The sequence below is a fragment of the Homo sapiens genome, chromosome 18 (assembly GCF_000001405.40).
Source record: "Homo sapiens chromosome 18, GRCh38.p14 Primary Assembly".
NCBI lineage: Eukaryota > Metazoa > Chordata > Mammalia > Primates > Hominidae > Homo > Homo sapiens.
This window is the reverse complement of record NC_000018.10, coordinates 62,959,885-62,980,762: the sequence shown is the minus strand read 5'-3', so window position 1 is coordinate 62,980,762 and position 20,878 is coordinate 62,959,885. Positions and strand designations below refer to the sequence as shown.

The window sequence follows — 20,878 nt, the reverse complement described above, 5'->3', positions numbered from 1 at the left end:
CTTGAACCCGGGAGGCGGAGGTTGCAGTGGGCAGAGAACACACCACTGCACTCCAGCCTGGGAGACAGAGCGAGACTCCATTTCAAAAAAAAAAAAAAAAGAAAAGAAAAGAAAAGAAAAGCTGTAAGATCAGCTAATTATACTGCTTACCATTTGGTTAATTTCACATTTCATTCAATGTAGGTTAACTTACTGGATGTTTTTCTCTTAAAAAAAAAATCAGAAATATCTGATAACCCCAATATTCCATCCATTCTTTCTAAACGCAAGCTAGTGTGACTGTCTCCAAGAAACATCTGGCTGCTGAGACAAAAGCAGATACTTGTAAATACTTGTAAATTTCATATTTATTGTAACAAAAATTATGACATGTCCATTTGTGCATTCTGCTTGAGTATAACTCTGGGTATGTAAATGGCCTAATGGGGCACTATACAACCATGCTGATTGTGGCAGCAGTAAGGAACACAGTTAAAAGTGTCTGTCAAAGTGGGAAGGCTGGGACAGGGGAGGAAAATGGGTTCAGGGCCCTTGGGTGCAGGTTCTTGTCCAGTGGCCTAAGATCCATTTCCTCCGGACAGAAACACTGCAGCTGCTCAGCCTCCTCATTCAGTGAAGTGAGGGTGAGTTGTGAGGCAGGCAGGCTCCTCAGAGGGGAGGGGGAGGGGAAACGTCAGTTACTTGGGCTGTGTCCTTACGCCAAGACTACAAAACATCGTAAGCCTCACTATACAACACTGAGCTATTTACAATGGAAATTCTCAATCAGCTGTTCTCTCAGAGAAAATTAGTGAATCCCAGTGACTTAAGTCACCTGACAGAGTAAAGCAACTCCTAGGAGTTAGTCTCCATATTCTACAAATGTCTATTATTTTCAAGACAAAAACAAAACAAAACAAAACAAAACAAAACAAAAGCCTTTTCCCCCCAAAGAAATACAGAATTACAATATTATTAAATCATTTAGCAACGGCAGCCTGCCCTGCCTTCCAAACAAACAACAAAAAGCCATTTTAAAAAATATTACATTATCATTAACTGTTTCTCTGTAATATATTAAACCTTTTGTTCTTTGTCTTTACATATCTGATATGTTAGGGGGAGAAGTTAACAAATGTAAATCATATTGGTAAAGCATCACTAGAAGAAAGTGGTGATTACTTAAAAAAATAACCCAAAGAAAGAGAACCTACAGATTAGCTGCGATGACAGGTTGGGAACAGTGTCTGGGGGAAGGATGTGGAGTAAAACCCCTGGTTTAATGTGAGCCTGGGAGACTCTTGCAACTCAGTCTTTTGTGGTTAGTTTATTTGTTAAACAGCTCGGCTGGGTCATAGTGGCGTGTCGTAATAATCTGGCAGCTGGTCCAGCTGGTAGTGCCGCGGCAGCTGCGGCTGGAGCTGAGGGGGTGGTGGCGGCTGCTGCTGCTGCTGTTGCTCCTGGTGATGCTTCATGATTTCTTTGACCTCCTCTTCCAGCTCCGGGGGTATGATAAACTGATCATCAGGATCCGGCTGAGCCGGGGCAGCAAAATAGCCTCCAGGCTTTCGAAGAGGTGCGTCTGTAGCCACCTCTATCACATTGTGGCTCCTTTCCTGGGGCGCAACAGAGCCATTGGCCCTCCGGCGCCCAATGGTCCCAACGGCAGAGAAGTCTGCCTTCCTGGGCAGACCTGGCTCATCCTCGTTGGCGCTGATGACAATGCCCTCATCACTGGCCTCTGCTGGCACCTGAAGCAGGTGCTGCTGTTTCTCCTTCTCCTTGGCCCGGCTGCAGTGGATGTCCACCTCCACCTCCACCCGGCTGCCGTTGGTGAAGACGCCCTCGATGGGCTCCTCATCGTCACTGTCAAGGCCGTTGTCGGAGAAGGCGCTAGAGAACGTGGCGCTGGATAGCTGGCGCTGGAAGGAGTTGGACAGACAGATGGGGTGGAGCATGCAGCGCTGCTCACTGGGGTAGGCAGGGCTGTTCTCGCTTAGGGCTCCGGGCGGGGGCTCATCGGAGGCTGTTGACCCCACCTCGCTGCTCATCTCAGAAGTGGAGAGCTCACTGCTAATCTCGGAAGCCATGCCGCTGCTGGAGGACGGCACGCCCAGCCCATCTGAGGGCCGATCCTTGATCACCATGTTCACTGAGGGAGGAAAGATGCCAGGACTGGGTGGTGGCACAGCCCCACCGGCGCTGAGCTCGCAGCAGCAGAAGCTGTCCTCAGTGACACTGAGCTGCACCACCACAGCGCTGATGCTGTCGTGGCAGCCGTAGCTCTGGGCCAGGGTACACAGCTTCTTGGCAGCAGCCAGGGCATCGGGCACGTTGCGCACGGCTTCCACGGCCTCCTCGACGGACAGGCTGTCCCACAACCCCTTACTGCCTAGGATGAAGAACTCATCCTGGGGAGTCAGGAGCACGGACTGCACGTGGGGGCGAGGCACCACACTGGGATGGAGGAAGGTGTAGCCCAGGATGCGCGTGGACTCAGTCACTCCGTTCACCTTGCCATCCTGGAAGAACAAGGGTTTGCAGACAGACAGTTAATACAGAGCACCTGCGGCAACTGTGCAGGTTCCCTGCGGGTCCCTCGACTGTCTCGACTGTAGGACCACAGAGAAGTGCTGTGTGGCCCACAGAGGAAAGAAGGGCTCACTCTGTAGTGAGTAGTTAATGTGCACCTGTCATCAGAAACCCCAGGTAGTAGGCCTGGGCAGGTAAGGAGCAGTAGGGACAAAAGGAAAAGATTTCGGTTATGTGTGTTACTGGGACCCCATTCACACTAGGTCACAAGTCCTGCTGTTTATCTAAAGCAAGCCATCATCTAGCCTTACACAGCAAGCATAGCTGGCTAGCTCCTCCTGTAAACATGGGTTTACATCTTCCCTCCCTTGGTGAACATGGTGATCAAGGATCGGCCCTCAGACGGGCTGGGTGTAGGAAGACTCTGAGGTAGCAAGAGACTTTCTGATAGAAGCCAGTCCTGAGCAAAGACACATGACGCAGGCATATATCAAGACAATGCTCCTAAATCTTCCATTGCTCTCCATGATCACAAGAGGCAGTAGTGTCTAAAGGTCCAGAGAGGACTTGAAAGTACTTAAGCGGTGGAGAAAACCTTGGTTTGACTAGGTGGGTAAGAATGCTCATGTCAGGAGAACAGATGCTAAAGAAGAAATGCCAATTCTTACAACTTCCTTGAACTTGATTTCCTGTTGACCAATGGAGAAGGCAAGATCTGCTGGCTTTAGTTCAGCTGTGTGCATGCTATTTAAATCAATTACCAAAGTGCCAGACCACTTGCCAATAAAAAGACCTGGGTTTTTTTTTTTTTTTTTTTTTTTTTGCCACGTGTACCTGCTTGGTTCTTTATTCTTCAAATTTTGAGATTCTCAGGTCCATGACATACCTCTACATGCCCTAGTTTTAACACTTCTTTCCAGGAAAGGCTTCATTATGACAAATCCCTGTCTGGGATGACAAAGTGTTTCTTCCACAGAATATCCATTTCCTTTCCAGTCCTACCACTTCCCTTTATTTGGGATTTGGCAAGGTGTTTACTTGTCCTAGGGATGTCTTTCCCAGCTTCTCACACAACTTTGCCACACCACACTTATAAGCAGGTAAGCATTCCTATTAGTAAAATTAGTAAGATGGGCTTCAAGCACAACCTTAAACTGCCTTGATTCTACTGACATAATCTGTCCCCAAAGCATGGAATTTGGCAGAAACTGTTCTTGCTGTTCTGTCCATCCCTTTAGATTTCTCTCTATCAAAACCAATGGTTTTGTGATTCATGAGCAATGAAGCTTCCACCATGGGCTCCAGGAGTTCTGCTCCATTCGCTAATTCATCAAAGTGTCAGTCATCTGCCCTGTGCCTGAAAAAATGACGTGGGCAGACAGCAGTGACCTGCAAAGAAACATCTACCTTCAAGAGGTTTCCAGTCTTACATTGTTGATAAAACCCATAGAACCATGTACAGTTTGGGGTGGACTCTGGTGAAAGCTTATAGTCCAGTAGAGAAAAAAGACTGACTCCACACAGGCTTTGATGAGGGCCTTAAGAAAGAAACAGAAAGACTCAAGCTATACATGGGATTCTGTGCAAATGAGTCTGTGTGAATTTGTTCTCTGTCTATTCTTGGAGCAGAGAGGATGCACATGGATGGTAGACACTGTGCTAGGGAGCAGAAGACAGTCTAATGTGTACAGAATGCACTGATTTCAACTTTAGTTCAACATTATGCCAAACACAATTGAAGGTAAATGATTTCTGTGACCTACATGAATCATGGTTTGCACGTCAGACTTCTCTTGTTTTCTGTGCCTCGCCTCTTCCCTGCTTTTGTTTGCATTGCTTAATACTCAACAACGAGGTTTTGTTTTGTATTGTATTTTACTTCTCTTCCTTGAGACACGCCCTCCAAACACACACACCACAGTCTGTGTTGTGGAGACTGCCCTGTGCATTGTGGGGTGTTGAGCAGCATTGTCCTAGCAGCGCTGTAGGATGCTCAGTGGCCTCAATCCACTGCATGTCAATTGCACTCTCCGCCCCAGCTGTGATGACCAAAAATGTCTCCATATGTTGCCAAATGTCTTGTGGGGAAGCAAACTGCCCCCAGTTGAAAACTGCTTACTGTGTACTCAAATGGGACATGAGGTATGAACCAAAATAACAACTAGTACACTTACATAGACGTTCATAGTTTACAAGTCATACCAACCTTGTAAGATAGGACAGATGCATGATTATTCCCACTTTACAGATGAGAAAACTGAGGCTTAGAGAGGTTTAAAGGTCACAACCTACAAGTGGCAGAGCTAAGATATGAAAACTAGCAGTGTGATGTCAGGGGTAGAGCCCTCAACCACCAAAGCAGCCCTCTGCAGAGTGGCTGCAAACATGGAATGGGATCATGCCCATGAAGCACGCAGCACAGTGCCTGATGCAGAGAGGCAACCAACAAGCATATACATCATAATGTAAGACATCTGCTTTGTGATACTATGGATTTGGAATTCTAATGTCAAACCAACTTCAAAAGTGTTCTTTGAAGGCAAATGCTCCCTAGCTAGTTTCTGCTATGACCTGGTCTCCTCTCCTCTCCTCTCCACCATCCTGGGCAACACCCCTGTTTTCTCACCTCAGTGATAATGGCCTTGTGCTGTTTAATCCTCTTCAGCTCTTCTTCACAGCTCATGATGTAAGATCTGGACAGAGGCAGCGGCTTTCCATTTCGACAGAGAACTGTTTGGCACTTGCCCACATTAGCAGAGGTCAAGGTGAAGGATCCTCCTGGATCCACAGGGTCATGCTTGATATGACAAAGGACAGCGGCACCACCAAGCTTCTGCCCAGCAGTTCCAAGTTTCCTGGAATCCGAAGAGAGGGGGTGACACTCAAACACAGCCCATCAGTGCCAGTTCTGCAAATTCAACAGCAAGACCGCACCACTGGACAGGGCCAGGAAGGAGACAGCTGGGGATTCCACTCCGCCTCCTTCATCAAAGCACACACTGCTCTGCCTCTTTGATGAAAAGAGCCCCTGAATCTGACATCACACACATCCACACAGAGAGGCTCACAACTGGAAGACAGTATCACTGTACCATTAAAAGCCACAGGTGCTGCTCTGGAAGGCGGGTGCCCCTGGGCTGCTGTGTACAGCCTGCTACCCTCATCAACCACACTGCCCTATCAGCACACTCCAAAGACAGCAGGAAAATGACTTCTTTCTCCATCTGCTTCTCTAAATCCCCTCTGTCCCCAGGAAAGGAACATTGAAAAAACCATGTATGTAAGAGCAGGTATAAACACCCTACCCCACTGACAGGCACACTTTAGAAAAACCTGACAACCCTCTCCCCCTTATAAGGGTGTTTGCTGGTAGCAGCCTTGAAGTATTGGAGTGTTCATGTTCCTGCCCTATATAGTAAAGACTTTCTGGACCAGCACCATCTATTCTAGAAAACTCATAGAAAGGACATTCTAGTAATCAAATACCAAGTGCTTGTGATTTATCTTTTTAATCATGAGAATCCACAGACCTACCAAATACAGAAAGCACCTGCAAATTCTGAAAATCAAAAATCAAAAACCCCTCTTACAAAGCTACTTGTTCTGGCAGATTATCAAGGGAGAGAAATGGCAGAGACGGACAAAAGACCATTATTGCTCCCATGGCCTCATGAACAACTATGGCAAGCCCCACAAATGGTAACACTGCCCAGGCCCCTGCTGTTCCTGAGTGGTACAGGAGCAAGAAAGTTAAGAAAAACAGCCTCCCGTTTTACAAGGGCAGACCCTCAGGTACTGTCTGCTCCTATCACGTGTGTAAGGTAAGCAACTGGCAAGAAGAGCAATGGAAACCAGGGCTGCCTACTTGCATGCATTAGGAAATCCCGCACAAAGACCAGTTCCCCTAAGGACCAAAAGCTCACCACACAACCCGTACCCTCTTAACAGATAGGGAAAATAAGAGACATACAAAAGACCCTGGAGAAGGGCCTATAGTTTAGGTTCCTAAACTCCAACTTTCAGATATTTGGCTCTAGACCCTTCCAAGGCATCTCTACTTTCTCCCTTTCACAGGCACAGTGATTTGTAAAAAGTATAGCAAGTAATCCGAGACTGGGGTTCTCAGTTTTTAATTCTTACCCAGTGCTTGAGGGTGCATAAAAAGCAGACCTTTTGGGGGTTGTGAAGGGATGTGTTTGTGCTGTGGTCTGTATGCACATGTGTATGTGTGTGCATATGATACATGCTTGCTGTTTTTCTAGAACAAAAGGGTGGTAAAAACAGGAAAGCTGATGTGCCTGCTAGTTACAACATCCTTTGAAGGGAGTCTCACAACCTGAGGTCAGGTCCTGGCTGCACTACCTATTAGCCCGTAGGCACTGTGCTTCACCTCACTGTACATCACTTTCAGTAACATTACCCAGCTAACTGGTAACAATTTATGACACATAAGGTAATTTAGAACAATGACTGGTACATATTAAGGGCTTGCTGGATATTAGCCATTATTGTTCAGTTGCTAATTGTATATGCTCACTGAGAATCTGAAAGTCAGGGGTGAGTGTAGCAGCAAGAACCACCCCAGGCTTGCCTCCACCAAGCTCTCTGAGAGGAACCATTTGTGATGCAGGTATCACTGTAAAGGCTGCTCTGAACACTCCTCCCCAGACACCACTTCTACCCCTCTAACAAAGCTACTTGCTCTGGCAGAATATCAAGGGAGAGAAAGAGCAGATAAGGATAAAACACCATGACTGCTCTCATGACCTCAAATACCAGTACATTCATCACTCCTGGGTCCCACATGAGTGAGTCTGCAGCACAATACTTATAGACAGGCAATTCCATTATTACCTAGAAAGCCATGAAGGTGGTAAGAATAAACAATTCTCTGAATGAAGGAATCCTCATTCCTCTAAGAGTTACAAACAATATTCCACAATTTCTACAGCAACCTAAAGCTCTGCTGCTGGTGGCAACTCCAGGCTATGGCCTAGGATTCTGCCAGTAACACTGTCTTGAACATTTAATAAAGGAGAAAACAAAATATAAAGAATGATTTAACTCTTGGGCTAAAATCTGACCATCTTGATTTCACAAAGGTTTGCACTATCTCAAACCAGTGATAGTATTTCATAAGGGCCAAGAAACTAGGATAGAAACGGTCCATTTCAAAGAGAGGTCCCCACAACAGAAAGTCTAAAAAGCCCCTACAGCTCACATGATTTGGGAGGAGAAATGGCATTGCAAACAATCTGATGAAAATCTGCAATCAACACAGGCCAGTGAGGTCCAGTTCTCAGAGAAACTAATTCCTTGTCATTGTCTGAGCCTTCTACAAAGTTGTCTGAACATCAGTATGTCTCAAACCGGAGCACCATTCCTGATGCCTGGGCAACACCAAACTTGCCTGAATGCATCTTGGTACTCATAGTCAAAAAACATGGCTTGGAGACCATTGGGCACCTGCTTTTCTAAACAGAGGATAAACACTCAAAGAGCAAGAAAACACACAGCAGGTAAGCAGGAACTCTGAGTTTTACCTTTGCATGACAATGAATGTATTGACCATGTATTCTTCTTCGTTTTTTGTTTTTTGCAGCTCTTCAGCCAAAATGTCACTCATAGTGCACTGGAGAAGGTAGGGCACCTCCACATTCCGGTCTCCGTCAAACACACCATACAGGGCTTCGCGGTTGTCACAGAAGTTATTCACCGACAGGGCTGCGACACACAACCTGCAAGGCAACCACACTTCTGTGCTGAGTCCACTCATCCTCCTGCTCCAGGCCCAGCCCAGTGCTTATTTCAAGATTTTCCTAACTCAGTTTTGTCTCTTTCTTCATGACTCCAGACAGATTAAGGGCAGGTAAACTGACTCCAGCTAATTTCCAACAGCCAATTTTGATAAGCAGAGAAGGATGAGCACAAATTATGCTTCACACATGCCTTCCTACATGCTTCTCTTCTGATGAGTTTATTTTTAAATGTCAGTGACAGAAGGGGAAAAAGAGGCATGGGAAATAAGAGAAGATTATGAATCCATATCTACACATACATTCAATAAGCAGTTATTAACCACAATCTCCACATCCAGCCAAAATAGAAAACTAAAACACTGGGAAAAATAGACGAAACCTATATGAAAAGCATGTACAAATACAGAAAAAGCCTCAAATGACTTTTAAAAAATTATTTTTATTTTTATTTTTTTTTGAGACAGGGTCTCCCTCTATCACCTAGGCTGCAGTGCAGTAGTGTGATCTCGGCTCACTGCAGTCTCCACTTCTAGGGCTCAAGCGATTCTCCCACCTCAGCCTCCTGAGTAGCTAGGACTACAGGAGTATGCCACCATGCCCAGCTAATTTTGTATTTTTAGTAGAGATGGGATTTCACCATGTTGGCCAGGCTGGTCTCGAACTCCTGAGCTTAAGCAATCTGCCAGCCTCAGCCTCCCAAAGTGCTGGGATTACAGGTGTGAGCCACTATGTCCAGCCTTCAAATGACCTTTTTAAAAGGCAGGAAAAACAAACAAACAAACCCCAACTGGACAATAAGAGCACAGGTCAGTAATCCTGGAGAGAGCCTGCTTCCCGCCCAGCTTCCTCCTGGGGAAGTGTCCAGGCTGCAGCACAGGGAGGAAGACCCAGGTGGAGGCTGTGGTCTCCGTGCATTGAGGAGATGGAGCTGGGGGCTGAAGGAGGACAAGGTGGCCAGAGTCCACAGTCAGTGCACTGGAGGAGGATAGTGGTTCCCGGCAAATGTGGAAAGTTTGGAGACTGTCTCCACTCCAAACTCAAAAGAATCAAACTGTTTCCAAGCAACTGTGTCCCAGAAACTGTCCAAAATGAAACAGAGAGGAAAAAAAAAAGACTGGGAAAAAAAAAAAATAAGGCCAGGACCTTAGTGAGTGGTGGGATAACTTCAAACAGCCTACTATACTATAGGGAGTTGGAGTCTTCGAAAGAAGAGACAGATAACACTTTTGAGGAGTTGATGGCTGAAAACATTTCCAATATGAAGAAAATTATAAAACTACAGATACTGCAAGCAAGACAAACATGAAGAAGACTTAACTGAGACACATCAAAATCAAATTGCTAGAAACCAGGAACAAAGGCGGGAGGTAGAGCAGGGGAAACCAGGACGTGCCCAACAGCAGGCTTCTCCCTGGAAACCTGGTAGGAGACAGTGGAGCAACGTCTTGAACGTACCAACGGAAAACAACTAGAAAACAACCTAGATTTCTAAGCCAGTACAAACAGCTCTGAAAAGTTAAGGGGAAATAAAGACATTTCCAGATGCACAAATAAAAGCATTTACCACCAGCAGGATGGCACTAAAGAAATGGAAAAGGAAATCCTTGAGGCACAAGAAAATGACACTAGATGGAAATCCGGAACTGTACAAAAGAATGAAGCACAACGATAATGACAGCCAGGTGAGTGAACAGAAACATTTCCTCATTTTTTGTTTCATTTTTTTTTGAGATGGAGTCTCACTCTGTCACACAGGCTGGAGTGCAGTGGTGTGATCTTGGTTCACTGCAATCTCTGCCTCCCGGGTTCAAGTGGTTCTCCTCCCTCAGCCTCCTGAGTAGCTGGGATTACAGGCACCCGCCACCACGCCCAGCTAATTTTTGTATTTTCTGTAGAGACAGCATTTCACCATCTTGGCCAGGTTGGTCTCATACTCCTGATCTCGAGCGATCCGCCCGCCTCGGCCTCTCAAAGTGCTGGGATTACAGGCATGAGCCACCATGCCCAGCCTCATTTTCTTATTTTAAAAATCACCTTAGAACAGTGATTCTTAATAGAATATTCAATAATATTCTAATGGGTATTGGGAGGCAACAACAAAGAATTATCTGGCTCAAAATGTCAATGGTATTGAAGTTGAGAAACACTGCTTTAGAAAATAACTAAAGTAAAAATAACAATAATGTATTTTGGAGGTTATAACATAGATGGAAGCAGAACATATGACAACAACAGCATAAAGGCCAGGACAGGAGAAGGAGAAGTACATATTTGCAAGGTTCTTATATGTGAAATGACATTACTATTACTTGAAGGTAAACAGTAATGAGTTAAATATCACACTATAAACTCTAAACAAGCCACACATGTACACACAGAGACACACGGTAGAATAAGAATAAATAAAGATAAAATCAAATCATAACAAATAATCCAAAAGAATGAAGAAAAAGGAAAAAGGAAATAAAGAACAGATGGCACAAATAGAAAACAATAGTAAGGTGGAAGGTTTAAACCTAACCATATCAATAATTTCATTAAATATAAAGGCCTTAACACTACCGAAAAGACAAAAAATTCAGACTGAATAAAAAAGACCTAATTATATGCCGCCTATAAGAAATCCATTTTAAATATGAGACAAATAGGTTAAAAGTAAAAGGATTTTTTAAAAGGTATACCATGCTAACATTAATCAAAAGAAAGTTAAAATGGCTATGTTAATATCAGACAAAGTATATTTCAGAACAAAGAATATTATAGGAATAGAGAGTCATAATGATAAAGGGGTCAGTTCATCAAGAGGCTACATCATTCTAAATGTTTACATACTTAACAGAGCTTCAAGATGTATGAAGCAAAAACTGACAGAACTACAAGGAGAAACAGACAAATCCATATTCATAGCCTCTCAATCATCAACAGAAGAAGAAGACAGAAAACTGGTAGGAGGCTTGAGCAACAATATCAACCAACTTGAGTTAACTGGCACCATACCCAACAGCAATTTTTTTTTTTAAATGCACACAGAACTTTTACCAAGATAGGTAAGATTCTGGACCAAAAATCAAGTCTAAATAAGTTTAAAGGATTCAAGTCATACAAAGCGTGTTCTCCAACGATATTAGTGAAATTACTTAGAAAAAAATTTACAACTCTAAATGCTTATATTACAGAATTAGAGGTCTCAAATCAATAATCTAAGCTTCCATTTAAAGAAACTAGAAAAAGAAGTACATAACAAACCCAAAGCAAGAAGAAAGGGAATCATAAAAATAAGAAAAGCAGTTGAGTGTGATATCTCACACCTGTAATCTCAGTACTTTGAGAGGCCAAGGCAGGAGGATTGCTTGAGGCCAGGAGTTTAAGATCAGCCTGGGCAACAGAACAAGACCCTGTCTCTTAAAAACAAACAAACAAAACAAACAAAAAAACCCAAAAAACCCATAAAACAAAAATTAAAACATAAGAAATGTGAAACAGAAAAATTATAGAGAAATATCAGTAAAACAAAAAATCTAGTTCTTTGAGAATATCAATAAAATCGATAAACCAAATCAAACTGATCAGGAAAAAGAAAACACAAATTACCAACATTAGGAATGAGAGAGTGGAGGAACATCTCTACAGATTCTACAGATTTTAAAAGCATAATAATGGGCTGGGCATGGTGGCTCATGCCTGTAATCCCAGCACTTTGGGAGGCTGAGGCGGGTGGACCATTTGAGGAGTTCGAGATCAGCCTGGCCAACATGGTGAAACTCCGTCTCTACTAAAAATACAAAAAATTAGCTGGGCGTGGTGGCGCACACCTGCAGTCCCAACTACTCAGAAGGCTGAGGCAGAAGAATTGCGTGAACCCAGAAGGGAAAGGTTGCAGTGAACCGAGATTGTGCCACTGCACTCCAGCCTGGGTGACAGAGTGAGACTCCATCTCAAAAAAAAAAAAAAAAAAAAAAAAAAGCCTAATAATGGGATATTATGAACAGGCTTATGTTAATACATTTGAAAACTAGATAAAGCAGACTAATTCCTTGAAAGACACAAATTACCAAAGTTTGTTCAAGAAGAAAGAGATAATCCTATTTAAAGAAATTGTAGGTTAAAAAAAACCCAGAACAGATGGCTTCACTGGTGAATTCTTTTAAATATTTAAGAAGGCTATATTACCAATTTTATACAAACTCCTCCAGAAAACTCAAGATGAGGAAACACTTCCCAACTCATTCTATGAGGCCAGCATTACCCTGATACCAAACCCAAAGACATCACAAGAGAGCTACAGACTAATATCCACCATGGAATATAGACATCCTCAACAAATTAACAGCAAATCTAATCCAGCAGCATGTAAGAAATATAATACTTTAGGCTGGGTGTGGTAGCTCACGCCTGTAATCCTAGCTCTTTGGGAGGCAGAGGAGGGCAGATCACTTGAGGTCAGGAGTTAGAGACCAGCTTGACCAACATGGAGAAACCCTGTCTCTACTAAAAATATAAAATAAGCCAGATATGGTGGCGCATGCCTGAAATCCTAGCTACTCGGGAGGCTGAGGTGGAGAACTGCTTGAACCCGGGAGGCGGAGGTTGCGGTGAACCGAGATCGTGCCATTGCACTCCAGCCTGGGCAATAAGAGTGAAACGCTGTCTAAAAAAAAAAAAAAGAAAAATATACTACATCGTGACCAAATGCATTTATACTTGGAATGCAAAGTGTATTTAACATTTTAAAATCAATCAATGTAATTAAACACATCAACAGCCTGAAGAAGAAAAAAAACCATACAGTCATCTCAATTGATACAGAAAAAGTCTATGACAAAATGTGTTATCTGTTTATTATAAAAACTAAGATTTCATTATAAAATCTTAGCAAACTAGATATAGAAGAGAATTAACTTGATAAAGGGTGTCTACAAAAATACCGAGAGCTAACATCACATTTGATTGTGAATGAACAAGTTTTCACCAAAGAAGGTATATGGATGATAAATAAACATATGGAAAGAGTAGGGAAATGCAAATTAAAACCACAATGAGATATTATTATTAGAATGGCCAAAACAACAACAACCTGACAATAACACCTGCTGGTAAGGATGTGTAGCTACTGGAACTCTTAGACATTGCTGTTGGGAGCGCGAAATGATACAGGCACTTTGGAAACAGTTTGGCAGTTTCTTACAAAAGTAAATATACACTTACCATATGACCCAGCAATCCTTATCCCTAGGCATTTCTCCAAGAGAAATGAAAACAAGCATTCATAAAAAACCTGTATGTAACTGTTTGCAACCTGTAGCACTTTCATTCGCAATTGCTAAAAACTTGAAACAATCTAAACATCCTTCAAATGGTGAACGGGTAAAACAAAAACAAACCATAATATGTCCATGCTATGGAATGCTACTCAGCAATAAAAAGCAATGAAAAGAAACGAACTACTGACACATGCAATAGTACAAATGAATCTCAAACGCATTATGTGATGGGAAAGAAGTCAGACTGAGAAGGCCATATACTATATAATTCTGTTTATAGGACATCCTGGAAAAGGCAAAATTAATGAGATTAAAAAACAGATCAGGAGTTGCCAAGGACAGGGGTTGGGGAGAAGAACTGACAAAAATGGGCATGGGTAAATTTTGGTAGGTGAAGGAACTGGTCTATAACCTGCAGTGGTGGTTACACATGATGATATTCTTTTACCAAAACTTGCAGAACTGCCGGGCACGGCAGCTCACGCCTGTAATCCCAGCACTTTGGGAGGCCGAGGCGGGCGGATCATGAGGTCAGGAGATCGAGACCATCCTGGCTAACACAGTGAAACCCCGTCTCTACTAAAAATACAAAAATTAGCCGGGCGTGGTGGCGGGCGCCTGTGGTCCCAGCTACTCAGGAGGCTGAGGCAGGAGAATGGCGTGAACCCGGGAGGTGGAGCTTGCAGCGAGCCCAGACTGCACCACTGTACTCCAGCCTGGGCAACGGCACAAGACTCCGTCTCAAAAAAAAAAAAAAAAAAAAAAATTTGTAGAACTGTACATTAAAAAGGGTGAATTTTACTGAATATAGATTATACCTCTTACATATATAAATTAATAAAAAGAAAAAATTATTAAGCACCTGCTATGTATCATGGCTACATACCAGATATATAAACTTAAAAATATAATCCCTCCCTTTAAGGAGCTCAGGGATAAATAATAATAGTAATGACCATTATCATTAATAATATTAGTAGTTAACACTTAAATAGGGTTTATCATATGGCATACATTGTTCTAAGTATGTCATACATATTAACTCACGTGATCCTGTAACAACCCCATGAGGATAGGTAGTTTTTTCTTATTTCCTATTTTAGCTAAAGAGAGACTGAGAAACTGCCCATGGTCACACAGCAAGAAAGTATAGAACCCAGGTGCAAAGCCAGGCAACCTGGCTTCTATCTCAATCCTTTGAAATTCTTGCCTCTATTTATTATGAAAAACAAGTTATCCAAAATTATATGGCAATTAGTGGCAAAGTTAAATTTTAAAGTCATTTTATTCCGTCTTCCTTCTGTAGGCTCCCCTTGCTAATTGGAATGAGGTAGTATGAAAGAGAAAAAAAAATACAGTAACGTAGTTTTTTTTTCTTTCTTTTTTTTTTTTTTAAAGTATAGTGGTGATCATTCTTAGCATTTCTTTTCTGGTGAAGTTTCCTGTTTGGTTTTTAACCTAAAGAAGAGGCTAGGTTGGGAGTAGTGGCTCACATCTGTAATCCCAGCACTTTGGGAGGCTGAGGCAGGTGGATCACCTGAGGTCAGGAGTTCAAGACTGGCCTAGCCAACATGGTGAAACCCTGTTTCTACTAAAAATACAAAAATTAGTCGGGCATGGTGGTGGGCGCTGTAATCCCAGCTACTTGGGAGGCTGAGGCAGGATAATCACTTGAACCCGGGAGGCAGAAATTGCAGTGAGCCGAGATTGCGCCATTGCACTCCGGCCTGGGCGACAAGAGTGAAACTCCATCTCAAAAAAAAAAAAAAAAAAAAAAAAGAGGCTGATTATCCAACTGTAGCTCCCTCTTGGGTTTCCCCAAAGGATCTGAAATGACCTGACAGGAAGGCAATACTACACCTCAGAGAAAAGGAGGGAGGGAGAGAAGAGAATAGATGTCTATTGAGATTCGGAGAGAGGACAACCAGTTTTCCCCTTCTTTTAAGGTGGCAAGCAGCAAACTCTGTGTTTAAATAACTATTGACAATGCAAACAAAAACAAAACAAAAAACACCAAAAAACAAACAAAAACCTCTCGAGAAACTTTTATTGGCAAAACCAAAGGGTAAGAAAAGCAAGGGAAAATATAAAGGGAGGGCCAAGCATAGCCTGGGACTACTGGGATGCTGTCCATTTTCTATTTCTTGTATTTATTTATTTATTTTTCTCTTTCAATGACTCTGTTCATTTTTTATTTCTGGATACAGGTGGTGGTCTGAAGGTGTGTTCACTTTGCAAGAATTCAAAGGGTTGCAGTGCACTTTGCTGTACACAAATGGTACTATGTGACACAATTGTGGAAGGGGGAATTATGCCCAAAAGCCCACCCAGATCTAATTGGTTACTTGCTCCATTAAGACACGAGTAGATATTAGATATTAATATACAGAGATATTTAAAAACTAATCTTAGATTTCACATTAGTGTTCAGAAATGAGCAGTTTCATTTACTGGTGTTTGTAAGGAAGACATAAAAGATCCTTTGATCTAAAAAGTAATGATCTCCAGAAAGAAACTCTGAGTGCTCTAAAGAATATATGAATTCTCCTCTGTCCCAACACAATGACATACTGTGCAAAGTCCATGGAAATGAGGGAGTAGCTGGAGCCCAGGCAGAACTGAGGCACACCTCCTCGGGTTATTCTGCCTTTTCTGAGCAAAGAGAACAGAGTTGTTAACTCTTCTCTAGAGAGCACAAGGCCAAATGACACCTTAGGGAAAGGGGAAAAGATCAATGTGTCAGATCCAGAATTTGAGTTGATGCTGTTTTCTGTTCCAAAGAAAAGCAGGCAGAATGGCAGCAACAATTCCAAACCTTTTATTTTCTATGAAGAGTATTCAGCTAGTCGGTGGTTCTCAAGCCTAGACCCATACTAGAATCACCTGGGGGAGATTTTAAAACATTCTGATTTAATGAGTCTAGGTTGGGAGACTTTTTAAAAACTTTCCTTACCTTACTGATTCTAATGTGTGCCCAGGGTTGAATACTAATGTTAGCTATTATTAGATCTACCTCCACTTTCTGTTCTTCCTTACAATACTTCTGTGTTCTTATACTTCAGCTAATTAAATTATGGCCGTTCTAATTTACAGGATTCTTTACCTGTCTAGGTACTAATTATTAGCACCTCTTCATATAATACAAGCAAGCCTGAAAAGCCTGGTTACATTTTTCAGGAAAAATCAATATCTGTATCTAAGAGAGGGAAGGGTGGGGAAAATGGAGAAGAAAAAGATATTAAGATGGGCAAGTCCTGGTGGCAAGACAAGCAGATGACATTACAGACAATGGACATCAAACTGCTGCCAAGCTAATTTAGATTGTAAAAACAGCTCCATAGTCAATAACATGAGTGATCTTAAATATGCACAATTAAGCTACTTCTCCTTTAATACTATCTCTGTTTTGCTTGGTAAACAAGCGTCAGAGGAAGATAAAGGAGCTTTTCAAAGGAGCAGGGATGCATTTCAATACTTAGGCCTTTTCTAAACACTGGAGTCTTACATAGATATAATGTGTCAGTTACCTTGTATCCTAGCAACGTCTCCTACTAAGGGAGACTATGTGATTCCAAACAGGGCCTTCCCTTAATGTTCAAACATAAGTCGTGAGGGAGCCTCACTCTGGGGAAACTTGCAATACTCAAAGAAATTTTACATGAGAAAAGTGTGTGCTACAGCACTGAGTTTCTTTCTACCCAACTAAAGGAGTGAGACAGGCAGGAGGCACTTCTTCCTCTAAAGTTTCATCTGACTTACTTGTTTTTTACCCCCGAAGCTTCAGTGTAACCATGACTCCATACAGCTGGGGCTCCGGAAGCGTCTCCTGTAGAAGGCTGATCAATCTTGAAACAGCGGATATTACTAACAAGAGAAACAGGGAGGGAACAGGAATCATTAAAACCAAATGTGTGCAAATTGCTACCTTTATCCAAGAAATAAAAAATACACCTGTTAAACACTCTGTACTTACCATTTCTTACTGCGTTTAATGTGTCTGAAATACTTATCAGCAACAAGAACCAGCTACTCGTTGTAATGAAAACTGAGGGGCATATATACAGAGCACGAAAATTAGTTTTAATGAGCATCGTAAAGCAGCTATTAGAGACTTTCACACATTCCACTTTAGATGACTGCTCTCTCCTGGGAATGACAAGGACAGCTCTCAGCCTTGGCATGAGAAAACAAAACTTAAGTAATAGGATGGGTGTATTCTTACACCATGAATACTCAGAAAGAACAACAACAAAACACCTAAGCCACAATTATACTGCATTTAGATGATGTGAGAGAATTCTGCAATATTCATCTCCAAATCCAATTTCTGTCCATATAACCCCTCCAAATATTATCATGGACTTGCAGTTCCCTGGAGCTTCCAATACTCTCCTCACGGGTATAGCCAAGTATGCTAAGACTAATATCATAAAATAAAACATATATGTAAAATTACAAAGCAAATGAAGGGTATTTAATAAATTACAAGTTAACTGTATGTATTTAAACTGGGAGATTTCTTACCTCTCCTCAGCCCTCATATGCCATAATTGATCCAACAGGACCCAAAACAGAAATACTAAAGGGACAAATTCTCAAATAGCATTTCTTAAAAATCAGCCTTGCCAGGCGCGGTGGCTCACGCCTGTAATCCCAGCACTTTGGGAGGCCAAGGCGGGCGGATCACCTGAGGTCGGGAGTTCGAGATCAGCCTGACCAACATGGAGAAACCCTGTCTCTACTAAAAATACAAAAAATTAGCTGGGCATGGTGGTGCATGCCTGTAACTCCAGCTACTCGGGAGGCTGAGACAGGAGGATCACTTGAACTCGGGAGGTGGAGGTTGCGGTGAGCCAAGATTGTGCCACTGCACTCCAGCCTGGGCAACAAGAGCGAAACTCTGTCTCAAAAAATAAATAACATAACACATAACATAACATAACATAAAAGAACATAAAATAAAATAAAATAAAATCAGCCTCTAGAAAGCATTCTGTGCCCCTAAACAGGGAGTCATTAACAGATGTAAAGTAGTCTGTTAAAAGGCTGGCTACCACAAGGTGAAATAAGTCCTCTTACTTGTAAATTGCCACTAAGTTTCCCCCTCATTATTATTTAAACAAGGGAAAAAGTATATGTATTATCTGCTGACAACTGAAGCAACACCTACATAGTTCTGGTCATGACCACAAGAATTAAAATTATCTGTTGGTACTCATTACTCCCAAATCTAACAAATACTGTATATCCTTCCTAAGAACCAGTTAAAGCTCTAAGAAGTAAATCAATATCTAACTTGTATTCCCTTTGTAACTAGAAATAACTGATGGCAATTTTTCTGAAATTTAAAAATATATGGTTAAAGAAAAGTTTCTACTCTCAATTACTAGCAAACATTTACTTTCCATCTTGTCTTGAAAAACATAAATCATAGTGTCAATAGAAAATCCCCAAATCAAGTTAATACCTTGTTTTACAATAAGGCTGGAGCTAAATCTTTTTTTCAAAGTTTTCAATTCTATAAATAAAAGAGGCATTAACAAAAAAAAGGACAGTCCTCCATTATTTGCTCTCCATATGACCTGGTACTCCATTTTATCCATCTAAAACAGTCAGCAATACAATAGGTTTCTTAAGACATATCCTAAGGCTCTTAGATACCATCCTGAAGTCTAGGGAAAAGTGAAGGCTCATTTTTAAAGGCATTTATAATTTTTACAGAACACAAAGTCTTCAGAGAAATAATTCCATTTCCTAGCCTGATTATTAAAGGAAAAAAAAAATAACTCTTAACTGCCCCCTCTCCCCAGCACACAAATAATTCTTTCTAGTGAAGCAGCAATTTCTCTTCTCTACCTAGCTGAACACAGTGTGGCTGAGCAGCTATCTGAAGTGAAATGAATGCTGACTCTTGTATATCTTTATTTTTTATTTTTTGAGACGGAGTTTCGCTCTTGCTGCCCAGGCTGGAGTACAATAGCGTAACACGGCTCACTGCAACCTCCGCCCCCAGGTTCAAGTGACTCTCCTGCCTCAGCCTCCTGAGTAGCTGGGATTGCAGGCATGCGTCACCTCGCCCGCCAATTTTTTTGTATTTAGTAGAGACGGGTTTTCATCATGTTGGTCAGGCTGGTTGCAAACTCCTGACCTCAGGTGATCTACCCACCTCGGCCTCCCAAAGTGCTGGGATTACAGGCGTGAGCCACCACACCCGGCCATCTTGTATATCTTTAAATGAGTCAGAGTTCTGTGAACCACAGCTCAATCTCACAGAAGAGTCCTCATATGCACTTAATCGGCTCACATAAAACAAACCAACCCTCTAAAAGTGCAAATAATATACGGAAAATCTTCCAAGTCATTAAGAATCCACAACCTTCCAGATGTTAAACAGAAGGTAACATTTTAAGAGTATTATGATTTTTTGCTATAGGAAACTTTGGTCTGAGTAAGTGAATATTTTAAAAAGCTTGATACGTACGACAACTGCTTTTAAGAAGAGTGTAATACCAAATTATACTCCTTCAGCAGCACCAATTTGAGGGGGGAAATGTTATTCAAATATTTTATTTTGTATTTGCTTGATATACTTATAAGTTTGAACATCTTTTCATGTAACTATTTGTACTGCATCTGTTAAATGTTAATGTCCTTGGTTTATTTTGAGTACTTTTCTTATCATATAAGAACATTTTCTAGTAAGCATATTAATGCTTTTATTTTTTGTATTTCTCTTCCTAGTTTGTCATTTGCCATTTATATCTACTCTTGAGAGTTTCTGAAATAGGAAATAGACATTTAACACTTTTATGTATAAAAAGTATATTTACGTGTAAACATATACGACATAAATATTGAAACCAATCTACATGTACTGATTTCTTTTCTTGTGACTTACTCCCTTCATTTCTTGGCCTAAAAAGTCTTTTTCTAACTTGTGAAGATATTCATATGATTTATTACTTTTAAAAATCATTTAATTTTACAGATTCAACTATTTCAGCTGGATTTTGGTGTGATATAAGAATGCAACTTTAATTTTTCTCTAAGTGGCTACTTCCATTTATTAACAAATTTTGGTGCAATTATTTTTAAATTTTATTTGTAAAAAAATGCTCAAAAATTTTTGTATCCTACGTATAAAAAATACTCAAAAGCTATCTGTTTAAAGATGATGTATTTTGATAATCCATGTTTTCTTGATCTTAAAAAGTACCTTAAAGATCACGTAGGCCATTTTTTTTCTCATCTTATAGGTGTGGACAGATGGAGGGGTTTAGGCCGAGGTTTCATACATGTGATCAACAATGGAGAGAACCTCGGTCTCTACGCCTTCCTCAGGACACT

General features: G+C 41.6%; 1 protein-coding gene across 1 annotated transcript in view; it reads right to left on the bottom strand.

The window, feature by feature from the left end:
- The window catches only part of PHLPP1 (PH domain and leucine rich repeat protein phosphatase 1), a 264,893-nt gene continuing 244,344 nt past the window's right edge, over positions 330-20,878 (bottom strand). The window contains exons 14-17 of the mRNA NM_194449.4: positions 17,291-17,395; positions 8,055-8,249; positions 5,138-5,366; positions 330-2,501 (exon numbers count right to left, since the gene is read on the bottom strand). Coding sequence (NP_919431.2) covers positions 1,332-2,501; positions 5,138-5,366; positions 8,055-8,249; positions 17,291-17,395 — 1,699 coding nt within the window. The 3' untranslated portion in view covers positions 330-1,331. The remainder of the gene's footprint in view (positions 2,502-5,137; positions 5,367-8,054; positions 8,250-17,290; positions 17,396-20,878) is intronic.